Source organism: Homo sapiens, chromosome 5 (assembly GCF_000001405.40).
Source record: "Homo sapiens chromosome 5, GRCh38.p14 Primary Assembly".
In the NCBI taxonomy this organism is placed as follows: Eukaryota; Metazoa; Chordata; class Mammalia; order Primates; family Hominidae; genus Homo; species Homo sapiens.
The window spans coordinates 146018356-146030928 of record NC_000005.10 but is presented as its reverse complement, the minus strand read 5'-3'; the positions used below and the strand labels follow the sequence as shown (position 1 = coordinate 146030928).

General features: G+C 41.0%; 1 protein-coding gene and 1 long non-coding RNA gene across 6 annotated transcripts in view, besides 3 other annotated features; one reads left to right on the top strand and one right to left on the bottom strand.

Moving 5' to 3' along the window:
* The window catches only part of LOC107986458 (uncharacterized), a 131758-nt gene that overhangs the window by 36530 nt on the left and 82655 nt on the right, over positions 1-12573 (top strand). The window contains exon 2 of the long non-coding RNA XR_001742913.2: positions 10156-10247. This is a non-coding gene — a long non-coding RNA (uncharacterized LOC107986458). The remainder of the gene's footprint in view (positions 1-10155; positions 10248-12573) is intronic.
* SH3RF2 (SH3 domain containing ring finger 2) overlaps positions 1-12573 on the bottom strand; it is a 145196-nt gene that overhangs the window by 50845 nt on the left and 81778 nt on the right. The window lies entirely within an intron of this gene.
* Positions 2077-3276: an enhancer, noted in NCBI's record as "CDK7 strongly-dependent group 2 enhancer chr5:145407216-145408415 (GRCh37/hg19 assembly coordinates)". NCBI's record gives its function as "activates an origin of replication core promoter dependent on BRD2, BRD4, P300/CBP, MED14 and CDK7 cofactors, with strong dependence on CDK7, by STARR-seq in HCT116 cells {active_cell/tissue: HCT116}" and the evidence as "EXISTENCE:reporter gene assay evidence [ECO:0000049][PMID:35650434]".
* Positions 3298-4091: an enhancer, noted in NCBI's record as "NANOG-H3K27ac hESC enhancer chr5:145406401-145407194 (GRCh37/hg19 assembly coordinates)". NCBI's record gives its function as "activates a minimal SCP1, AML or CMV promoter by ChIP-STARR-seq in primed H9 embryonic stem cells {active_cell/tissue: H9 hESC(primed)}" and the evidence as "EXISTENCE:reporter gene assay evidence [ECO:0000049][PMID:30033119]".
* Positions 4092-4887: an enhancer, noted in NCBI's record as "OCT4-NANOG-H3K27ac hESC enhancer chr5:145405605-145406400 (GRCh37/hg19 assembly coordinates)". NCBI's record gives its function as "activates a minimal SCP1, AML or CMV promoter by ChIP-STARR-seq in naive and primed H9 embryonic stem cells {active_cell/tissue: H9 hESC(naive and primed)}" and the evidence as "EXISTENCE:reporter gene assay evidence [ECO:0000049][PMID:30033119]".

Here is a 12573-nt window from a genome sequence, read left to right as displayed (position 1 = left end):
TACTGCCTAACTGTTTCCTTCTAGTGTGAAAGCAGCCATTGATGTTATGTAAAGAGTGAGCCTGGCTGAGTACCAATAAAACTTTATTTTTGGACAATGAAAATACAATTTTATATAATTTTCACAGCATGGAGTTTTATTCTTTTGATTTTCACCCCCCACCCCTGCCCCCCAATAAATTCAAAATCACATCTGTAAAAGCCATTCTTAACTTTCTGGCCATATGAAAACAGGCAGCAGGTGCATTTGGACCATAGGCTGTAATTTGCTAATTCTGTTATAGCTCAAAGAAATGAATGAACAGTGGATAATTTCCAGATGCCAATAGCAGAAATAGTTTAGGGGTTAGTCCTCCTAGTGACCTGGTTACTGCTTTCTCTACAGACGTAGACAGATGAGGGCCCAGCAAGCGCCTAATCCCGGGCACAGGGAATCAATTGGATTTTGAAAATACAGGATAGGTGTTCTCTGACCTCATCAGTGTCCTGCCTCCTTGAAACGAATGCAGACAAATGATTAAAGTAGTAAACTCTCTCCGTGCTCCAGTGTGTCTGGTTCAAATCTGTTTAGGGTTTGTCACCTGAGTATATGCTCCAGGCCTAGCAAAGAATAGGGCCTCAGTAAATCTTCACTGAATGAAACGACATGGGCACATGGGCACATGGTAGACACACCATATTTGTGAGCAGAAGCAAGGAAGCAGCAAGATTTCTCTCATCAGTACTGGCTCAGGTCAAGTCAAAGGCAGTGGGGGAAGGCACAAGGGCTCAGTTAGGCAGCTTGAGCAGCCCAGAGAGTAGGAAAGATTTGTTCTCATTTCTGACTCTGCCCTTTTTGTCCTCAGAGTTGCCCTATACTCAGCGTGAGAAAACAGGGCTTCCCTAGCTGAAGTGTCTTGGAAACAGACAAACTGGTGCTTGCAATATTCTTTGCATACGTAACCAGTTTTTATTTCGCATTTAGTTGTGCAATTTTCCATCAGGGCTTGATTGTTTTGGGATGGGAAGAGAGGGAGAAGAATGGATATTACATATCCCAAAGCTTGTGCATTGAGATACAATAAATGGTTTTTTTCTTTGATGAAAGAAAATGGTCAATTTTCTTGGAGTTTTCTCTTTATCTTTCTTTTGTTTTCTTTTCTTAACACACTGTCATTTATCAAAAATAAAGTTCCTGAGGCATTCACAGAGGGTTGTGATATAGGGGCCCATATCTTGTTTTTCTATGAAAACAATGGAAGAACATGCCCCTTTTGTGCCCTCTGTAGAAACTCTTCCTTAGGAAGAAGGCCTGATTTTCAGCTTATGTGCAGAGAAAGCAAATAGCACAGAAGCTTGTTTGCTGAACAAATCCAGATGTACCCCGAGCCCAGCATGGCCCCCAGGGAGTGCCCAATAGAATGATATGGAATCACCGAGTCTCAGATGATGGGCCTATGTGGGGATGGCAAACACACGGCACATGCACCCATTTCCTACTCCTGGGCCCGCAACAGACATGGATAATTGATCCCTTTATTCCTTCCCACTGAGTCTGGTTGCTGTCCCAGAATCTCTCCTCAATCATCTCTGGGGACAATTGAGTTAGCATGTGAGATGCCCCACTACTCCCACTGCTTGGGCAGGGAAAGAGCATGGGCCCGGAAGACAGCCAGACCTGGGTTCTGACAAAAACTCTGAAATGCACTTGCTAACTGAACTAGATACTTAGCCTCTCTGAGTCTCAGTTCCTCCATCTAAAATGGAAAGAAGTAACAACGATTAACAATACTCACAGAGGATGTAAGACTGTGGCACTGGGTCTGTCACAAAATGAGTTCCTTTTTTTCTTGGAGCTGAGTGGGAATGGAAAGTGGGCCTGAATTATGTATTTATTGTGCCTTTGTTTATTGTTGTGGGGGTATGTTTCTCTGCACAATTTGTTTTTCTTTTCACTACATATGTATGTTTCTCTGCACAATATGTTTTTCCAACAATCCACTCAACGCACAGGTCCTTTCAGCTTCTCCAGCTAGGAGCGCGTTCGTGTTTTGGCGCATTTCCAGGGACAGGGCACAGGCAAGTCTCCCCATCCTACCTGTGGGAAGTGTCAGGTTTCCCCAAAGCCCTTCTATTCTCCCATGTGTTTGAGAAGAGTGGTCTGCTGGGGCTATTCAGAAAGGGCATCTTTTTCACACAGCCCTTGACTTAACTGCCCTTTATTCTGCATTTACTACAAGCCAGACCCTGTGCTACATTCTGCACATCAGCTGTTCTCAGCGGGAGGCAACTTTGACCCTGCGGAACATTTGGTAATGTCTGTTGTTGCCACAGGTGGGTGGGTGGTGGTGGTGGGTGCTACAGGCATCAGTGGGTAGGGGCCGGGGATGCCGCTAAAAACCCCACAATGCCCAGGGCGGCCGCCGCAACAATGATCTTGCTCAAAATGCCAATAGTGCTGAGGCTGAGAAAGCCTTCTGTATGCGAGTATCTCATTCATCTCCTAACAGGTCTGTGTGGAAGACGCTATTAATTTTCCCATTTGAGATGGTGAAACTGAGGTCTTGCAAGGTTGAGCCACTTGGCTGAGGCCACTGCACCATCAAGGTCTGTCTGTGCCCACATGTCTATACTACCCTCTTTGTTCCCAGAATGCTACCCTGTTACATTGCTTTTCCCTTTCTTTTGCCCTTCTGTTTTATTTTGCTTCTCTTGTCTTCCTTTCTTGTTGAATTATCTCTGTGTGTGTGTGTGTGTGTGTGTGTGTGTGTGTGTGTGTGTGTGTGTTGCAGGCCTCATTGGCCTTGGATATCAATGTCCCCTGCTCCCAGCTCCCAGAGCTATAGTGTCTACATTAAAATGTCTGAGGTACAGGCTAGGCCGCTCCCTTTTCCACCCGGGCAGGGTTGGGTCGTCTCAGTGACTCACCTGCCAGGATTAATTGGGCAAAACGATGATGTAAAGTTTAACCTCTTGCTGGAGAAATGCTGAATCAAGGAAGTAAGCAATGTTAATTATCGAACCTGCTTTAGTCACCAGAAACCAGACCGAGGACCTCGGGGAGGTTGGGCAGGGCTGAGGATCTAAGTACTGCAGAAGTCACTGTGCCCCAGGAGTACTGGCGCTTTCTGGAGTGACCTCAGTAGAAAGGCAACTGGGCTGCAGCGCTAAGGAGAGGTGTGTGCAGAACCTCAGCTCGCTTCCTTTTTTCACCTGGCTGACTGCTATCAGCTTCCAGGTTTTCACCTGAAGATCACTTCTTCCAGGCAGGCTTCTCTGACTTTCTAGACTAGGTGGACCCTCCATTACATACTCCCTTCATCTCCCATAATTGAACCTCACTAGCACTTTGCACGCTTAATACCTTGTAATCAAGTATGTTAATAATTTGTTTAGTTTTTGTCTTCCCTGCTAGCTTGGAGGTTCCATGGCTGTAGCAACCATGTCTGTCTTGTTCACTGTATCACCTGTGCCCAGCTCAGTGCCTGGTGGGCATTCGACAACTCTGTTGACTGGTTCACTGACAGGCTGTGAGGGGCTTTGGCAACTAGGATTCACAATGGGCTTTGGACGCTTGCCAGGTGAGGACAGCATTCCCAGAAAAAACTGCGAGGTGTGTATAGGAAATGGTGGACAGATGACTGGCTCTGCCTCAGTCTCTATCTTTGACTTTTTTATCCAAAGTCTTTTTTTTCCTGCATTCATTTTTGGCTTCTCTCACATGGGTTCACACGGAATTACAGTATGAACTAAGCAAGTGCAATTGTCCCAAGAGTCACACTCCTTCCCTAATTCTGGAATTGTCACTGCTTATCAAGAAAGCAAAGGGGCTTTTGGAAGCCTTTGCACTTCAAAGCAGGCTCCAACAGATCATCTCTGAAGCATGTGGCTGATCAAGCTCATTCTCAGTAGGGCCTGTTTGTATAGGCTGGCCCTGGGGCAGTGGGGATGGGAGATGGTTTTAGCTTCCTGGCTTGACCCAATGATAATAATAACAACAGAGTGAACATTTATTGAGCCATTTACCACTCCTAAACCCTGGCCATTATCTCATGTATAAGCATTGCCTTGTTTTATCCTCGCAGCCATCTTATGAAAATTACCATCATTAGTCCCATTTTACAGATATAAAAACTGAGGCTCAGACGGAGTAAAGTATCTTGCCCAAGGTTATACTGTTTGGTAAGAAGCAGTGTGAGTTCCGTCCTAGATCTAGCTGACCCCAAAGCCCATATTTTTATTTCCTTACTATACTGCCTGTGCTGAGAAGCTCTTTGCCTCAGAGAATAGCTCTACCCAATACCTGCGGGGCCTGACAAAACTTTGCACCAGACAGAAAGAAAACAGGTCTGTTGTGTAAATGTGTGCTCCCGCAGAAGACAGGAAGAATCACAACAATAACCATGATTCATTAAATAATAGAAACAGCTCTTTCCCTGTGTTACCTATCTTCAGAGTGTGCTGTTAGCCAATTAACGCACATAATACTCTGCCAAGCCACTTTTGTCATTCCAATGAGAAAACTGGGACCCAGACAGGCAAAACCCTTTGTCCAGGGCTATACAGTTAACTGTGGGAGTGCTAGGATCACATTCTTTGAGGCCTCGCTCGTGATGTATCTATCACCTTTCTTGTGCAAATAAAGGTTACTGCCACCTGGGACTATGTGGCTCAAAGATGTTATATATTGTAGGGACTATTAGTTATATTTTAAATTATAATTCATGTGTTTATTTAATTTTTGGGGGAAGACCTTGAGTCTGTTAAGGAAGTACCTTTTCCTGCCAGTGTTTTACATATAAGAGGCAAGATCACCCCCTCCTCCATATCTGTTAGTAGTTGTGAAAAACTATACCTTAAAACATTCAGATTGGAATGATCATTTAGATTTTAAAACGTTTGGCCCATTCCCTGTGTTAATTCAGGGTTCTCCCCAGTCACACAAATGACAGATTCTAAAAGCTCCCCTTGGAGGAAAGAGGGGGAAGGTAATAGCAATGGCTGCAGCTTGAGTTATTGCTACCATTGCCAAGACCCTGCATGGAAGGAGTTATCCCAGTTTGCAGATGAGTACACTGAGGCTTATTGGGGTTAGATACTTAATTTCAATGTCATTTAGTTACCAGATGGCAAAGCCATGACAAGAAGCTTTGCCTGACTCAAAACCTTTTTGTTTGTACTAAGCTACCTTCCTCTGTAGAATAAATACAAACCAAACCAAACACAATAAAAACAACAACAGAATCCATAGATTCCACTTCAGCATTGGCAGTATTTAGTTTCCAGCAGTCTATGCGGTAGGAGAGATTTCTCATTGTACTTCCTTAAATCCTTCATGTTTTGATTTATGTTCCTTTTCTCTTCAGAACACAGGAAAATAAAACTGGTATAGAAATGCAAGTTTGGAAAAACAAAGTCATCATTCAACCCCACATCAATCTTTTCTTCTCCAAGCTGAACAAACTTGGGCCTCTTTCTCCTGATCTTGGCTCAAGTGTGGGAACCAGACCTCAGGAAGGCAAGGGAGGGAACATGTGGGCCAAGGAGGCCTGGACTGGGGGCCAGCCTACGGCAGTGGCAAGGATGTAAACAAGGCGACTGCACAGGCAGGCAGTAAGATTAGCCCAGCTGGCAGTGGCCAGTGGAAAAAGGGGTGGCTGTTCAGTGATGGCAAACATGCCATGCGGGAAGGTGGTGAGAAATGAATCTTGTCTTTGAGCTAGGGGAATGCCCAGGAACAAATGAGAGAGACAGAGAGAGAGGTTAAGAATATGAACTTTGGACTCCCCAATATATGCTGAGGGATTATGATGTGTAGGTGTGGAGATCAATAGTGAGATAAAGCTCACAGTGCTGTGTCTTACAAATAGCTCAATATTATGGAAGAATTGTGGCATAAAAAAATTCAGGAGTGACAGATTTGGAACACCATCATTTTGCAACCCCTAATGAAATAATGTTCAAACCACCCGGTAAAAGGCTAATGGGGACCCATTTAATGGATGGAGCAGGCTGACACTTGAATAGAATCAATTTTAATACAAAAAGGGAGGCAGTTAGGCATTATGTGCTTCCTGATGTGTTGCTATAAAAAGTACTTAATTTTTAACATGAGTGTAAATATAACAAAATGGGAAAAAATAGTCTTTTTCAGTAAATGATGCTGGAACAACTTCATATCTACAGGTAGAAGAATGCATCTGGATCCCTATCTCACAACATACATAGAAATTAACTCCAGCTGGATCATAAAATCTAAACATTAGAGTAAAAACTGTAAGCTCTTAGAAAAAAATGCAGTGATAAATACTTATGAATTTGAATTAGACACTGGTTTTTAGATATGACAACAAAAGCACAAGCAACAAAGGAAAGAGTAGATGTGATGAAAAGCTTTTGTGCTTCAAAGGACACACCTAGAAAGTGAAAAGGCAACACGCAGAATGAAAGAAAAAATTGCAAGTCATATAACTGATACGGGACTTGAATCTAGAATATGTAAAGAACTCTTACAACTCAATAATAATAAGGAAACCCGATGATAAAATGGGCAAAGGATATAAAAAAACAGTTCTCCAAAGAACACATGCACTATAAACGCATGAACAGATGCTCTTATTAGCCATGAGGGAAATGCAAATCAAAACCACAATAGGATAACATTCACACCCAATTGGATGGCTGCAATAAAAAAGATTGATAATAAAACAAGTGTTGGCGAAGATGTGGGGAAATTGCAACCTGCATACACCAAGCCTGGGAATGTACAATGGTGCAATCACTTTTGAAAATCATTGGCAGTTCCTTAAACACAGAGTTACTATATGATCTAACAGTTCCACTTCTAGGTATATAATCAGATGAAAGCATATGTCTACAAATGTTCCATAGCAGCATTATTCAAAATAGCCAAAAAGTAAAAACAACCCAAACGCTCATTCATTGATGAGTGGATAAACAAAATGTGGTATATTCATACAATAGAATGTTATTTGCCATAAAAAGGAATGAGTACTAATACATACCGCAACATGAGTAAACCTAAAAACATATTCAGCGAAAGAAACCAGCCACAAAGATCCAAATATTCGAATACTGTGTGCTTCCACTTATAGAAAACATCCAGAATAGGCAAATCTATAAAGACAGAAAGTAACTTAATGGTTTCCTAGGGCTGGGGTTAAAGGAAATGGTAGTTTGGGAGGTGATGGCTAAGAGGTGTGGGATTTCTTTTTGGAGTAAAGGAAATGTTTAAAATTGACTATGGTGATGAATGCTCAACTGTGTAAATATATTAAAAGCCATTGAATTGTACACTTAAAAAAACTCAAACCAAACTAAAAAACAAGTACTTAGTACTGCCTATGAAGTATTCTTGACAAAAAATTGAGCCCGAAGCTTTCAAGCCTCTAGTTCTATCAGCTTACAGAAAGTATGGGGGAGGCCAGCCTCAGTGGCTCACACCTGTAATCCCAGTACTTTGGGAGGCCGAGGCGGGTGGATTACTTGAGTCCAGGAGTTTGAGACCAGCCTGGCCAACATGGTGAAACCCTGTTTCTACTAACAATACAAAAATTAGGCAGGTGTGGTGGTGCATGCCTTTAATCCCACCTTCTTGGATGGCTGAGGTGGGAGGACCACTTGAACCTGGGAGGCGGAGGTCGCAGTGAGCCAAGATCATGCCACTACACTCCAGCCTGGGTGGCAGAGTGAGACTCTGTCTAAAAAAAGAAAAAAGAAAAAAGAAAAAAAGAATGTATGGGCTAGAGAGGAATGTATTATCACTGCAAAAATGCAACCAGTAATATCCAGAATTTGGAAAATTCAAAAGGGCAAGTGACTTTGTTTTTTTAATGTATAGATGGTTAAGGGAGAAGGAGGGATATGTAGAATAAAGAAATTTAAGAGCCATATTAACTCAATGCAATGTGTTTAATTCATTTTGTTCCCATTTGAACAAACACTAAGAACATTCATAAGGCAAATATAAAAATTTGAACACTGAATATTTAATGTTTTTAAGGAATTGTGTGTGTGTGTGTGTGTGTGTGTGTGTGTGTGTGTGTGTGTGTGTGTTTAGATGGAGCCTTGCTCTGTGTCACTCAGGCTGCAGTGCACCGGCAAGATCTCGGCTCACTGCAACCTCTGCCTCCTGGTTCAAGCCATTCTCCTGCCTCAGCTTCCCAAGTAGCTGGGACTACAGGCATGCGCCACCACACCTGGCTAATTTTTGTATTTTTAGTAGAGACGGGGTTTCTCCATGTTGGCCAGGCTGGTCTTGAACTCCTGACCTCAAGTATCTGCCTGCCTCAGCCACCCAAAGTGCTGGGATTACAGGCATGAGCCACCGTGCCTGGCCTGTTGTTCATTTTTTAGTGTGTGATAATGGAATCATGGTTATGTTAAAAATATTTTTAAAGAGACACTTGCTGACATTTTTCTGGACGAAATGATATGATGTCTGGACTTTGCTTTAAAATAATCCAAGAGGCAAGGTGGGCAGATCACTTGAGTCAGGAGTTTAAGACAAACCTGGCCAACATGGTGAAACCTAGTCTCTCTTCATAATACAAAAATTAGCTGGGCGTGGTGGTGCCCACCTGTAGTCCCAACTACTCGGGAGGCTGAGGCAGGAGAATCGCTTGAACCTGGGAGGCAGAGGTTGCAATGAGCCAAGATCATGCCACTGCACTTCAGCCGGGGCAACAGAGTGACACTTTATCTAAAATAAATAAATAAAATAACCGAAGAGGGGAGCAGGTGAATGAAAGGAGATATATCTGAAATAAGATTGGCCCATTAGTGGATAATTGCTGAGACTAGGTGATGTGTACATGAGGGTTCATTATACTATTCTTTCAACTTTCAAATACGTTTGAAATTTTCTTTTATAAAAAGTCCAAAAAATAACAGGATAGGGATTGAAGAGCAATCCAGCAACTGATTGCTAAGACATTTTGACTGCTAAAAAGTTTTAAAATAACAACAATAACAAAAGTGGTAGCCAAGCACTTTATATTCACTTTTTATTTTTGATTTTCCCAATAACCTTGTGAGTCAGAGGTTAATTCTCATTTTTTGGTGGGAAACAAGCTCAGTATTGATTGGTCCTACATCCCACCATGGGCTGGGGAAGAGGTACCTGGGTCTAAGACTGCCATGGTTTCTCCTGTACAACACTGTATCTCTGGGTGGCTCATGACAGTTCTTTACCCAGGGGGCTCTGGCAAAATAGAGAGAGAGGTGGGAGGCCTTCTGGTCCTTTCTTGCTTTCAGCCACCTGCCTGTGAAACCCTGCTAAGGCCTTAACTGGTAATTTAAGAGAAAGTTTAAGGGGTTATATTTACCCAGTGGGTACATTTTCAAAAATTTAACAAACACATTTCAGACACTCAGTAGGCCCTATAAAAGGCACTATGGGGGCAGATAATGATAATATGGGACAGAGCAATTGGAGGGGATAGGTGTTCATCTAATGGTGCCTCCTCTCTTTTCTACCCACAACTCTTTGGGAATGCTCAGTGAGTTCTGGAGTGCTCTGACAACATCACTTATGAGTATGAATTTGTTGAGTGAAAATTGTAAAATAAAAGAAATATTTATCTTGGGAGATATCATCATAAGACTATAAACATAGAGTTAATTTATCTCTGTAAATTACCTCAAGAAGGAAGATTAGCTAAGAATCTTAAATATAAATTTGAACTGGGAGGGTGTCCAAAGGAAAAAATATATATATTAGTGCTAAGTAAACCATTTCTCATGGCAGCCCTGAGAACCATCCAAAGGAAAAAATATATATATTAGTGCTAAGTAAACCATTTCTCATGGCAGCCCTGAGAACCATAAAGTTGGGTTGTGACTCCTATGAAAGACAGTGATGAAGGAGCACCCTGGGAGAAGATCTGGACTTATAATAGTTCAAGCTCCCAGAAACTACTTTATTCAGACTATTTCAAATATGGGGTTAAAAGGACAGTCAGCTTTATAGACCTCAGAATTCCCCAAGGCTCGTGACAGCTCATCTTCCCAGATGAGGAGCCCAGGAAAGATGCTTGGACTTGTCATTATCATCCTGGCATAGGATGCAGGACAGTGGAGGAAGGAATTACATTCCTTACACTGACTTAAGTGACCCCCACCTTTTTCTCTCTCTCTCTTGTCTTTTTTGTTCTAGGTAATCAGAAGAGGGGTTTGGAAACTCAAGAGCACATAAGTGAACAAAACATCAAGCTTGCTCTTAAAAGTTTTTCAATCTTACGCATGTTGGTAAGATATATATGTGGTATTTATAGTGTAAAGAGGGTGTTATATGTTCTAATATATATGTTACAACACAAGTATAAACAATGTGCTGTGAATACAAGAGAGATATATATGAGAGAAATAATTCTGCGGAGGAGCAGTGGCAAGAGCTTCCTTGAAAAATAATATGCTTACAGGGCCTTGGGGTATGGATATGAGGGCAACAGGTGAATGCAACAAAAATAAATTCCAGAAGGAACAGCAATTATTTATTCAAAAAACATTTGTTCATTGCCCAGAATAATGCAGGCATTGTGCTGGGTACAAGGACAAAAAGCAAAGAGGTGGCCTAGTACATGGTGTGCATATAGGAATGTACACACACACCGTACTTTTATGTGTATGCACGTGTGTGTGTCAGCAGACCTGGGAGACCAGGAAGTGAACTGTAGCCAGATCATGGAGAGTCTAGAATATCATACTAAAATCTCACTTAGGGAAGGGAGCACAGGTCTGCCCTCAAGTCTGGACCCTGTTTCTACCCTTGAGACATTGTGCAAATTACTTAATCTTTTTGGGAATTCCTAGCCAGCACAGTCAGGCAAGAGAAAGAAATAAAGGGCATCCAAATTAGAAAAGAAGAAGTCAAACCATCTCTGTTTGCTGATGATCTTATACCTAGAAAACCCTAAAGACTCCTCCAAAAGACTCCTAGATGTATCAATGAATTCAGTAGTCTCAGGTCACAAAATCGATGTACACAAATCAGCAGCATCGCTATACACCAACAACAAACAAGCTGAGAATCAAATAAAGAACTCAATCCCTTTTACAATAGCTATTAAAAAAATAATTTAAAAATATTTACAAAAATATACTTAACCAAGGAGGTGAAAGATCTCTACAAGGAGAACTACAAAACACTGTTGAAAGAAATAATAAATGACACAAACAAATGGAAATACGTCCCATGTTCATAGATTGGAAGAAACAATATCGTGAAATGACCATACCGCTCAAAGTAATCTACAGATTCAATACAATTTCTATGAAAATACTAACATCATTTTTCACAGAAGCAATCCTAAAATTCATATAGAACCAAAAAAGAGCCCAAATAGTCAAAGCAATTCTAAACAAAAAGAAAAAATCTGGAGGCATCACATTACCTGACTTCAGATTATATTACAAGGCTATAGTAACCACAATAGCATGGTACTGGTATAAAAGTAGGCACATAGACCAATGGAATAGAATAGAGAACCCAGAAATAAAGCCAAACACTTTTAAACAAATGATTTTTGACAAAGCACCCAAAAACCTAAACTGAGGAAAGGACATCCTATTTAATAAATGGTGTTGGGAAAACTGAATAGCCACATGCAGAAGAATGAAACTGAATCCTTACCTCTCACCATATACCAAAGTTAACTCAAGATGGATTAAAGACTTAAATCTAAGACCGGAAACCATAAAAAATCTAGAAGAAAACCTAGAAAAACTCTTCTGGACATGGGCCTAGGCAAAGAATTTATGACTAAGACCACAAAAGCAAATGCAACAAAGACAAAAATAAATAAATGAAACCTAAGTAAAATAAAAAGCTTCTGCACAGCAGAAGAAATAATCATCAGAGTAAACAGAAACCTAAGAATAGAAGAAAATATTTGCAAACTATGCATTTGACAAAGGACTAATATCCAGAATCTACAAGGAACTCAAATCAGTAAGAAAAAAGCAAACAATCCCATTAAAAAGTGGGCTAAAGAAGATACACAAGATATATAAGCAGCCAACAAACATATAAAAATGCTCAATATCACTAATTATCAGGGAAATGCAAGTTAAAACCACAATAAGATACCACCCTTATCCAAGTCAGAATGACTGTTATTAAACAGTAAAAAAACAGTCGATGTGGGCATGGATGTGGTGAAAAGGGAGCGCTTAAACACTGCTGGTGGAAATTTAAATTAGTTTAACCTCTATGGAAAACAGTATGGAGCTCTCTCAAAGAACTGAAAATAGATCTACCATTTGATCCCACTACTGGGCATCTACCCAAAGGACAAGAAGTCATTATAACAAAAAGACAACTGCGTGCATATGTTTATCACAACACAATTCACAATTGCAAAGATACGGAATCAACTGTTGAATGGATAAAGAAAATGTGGTGTGTGTGTGTGTGGGTGTGTATATATCTATATATAGATATATAGATATACATACATACATATATATACCATGGAATACTACTCAGCCATAAAAAAGAATAAAATAATGTCTTGTGCAACAACTTGGATGGAACTGGAGGCTATAATCCTAAGTGAAATAACTCAGGAATGGA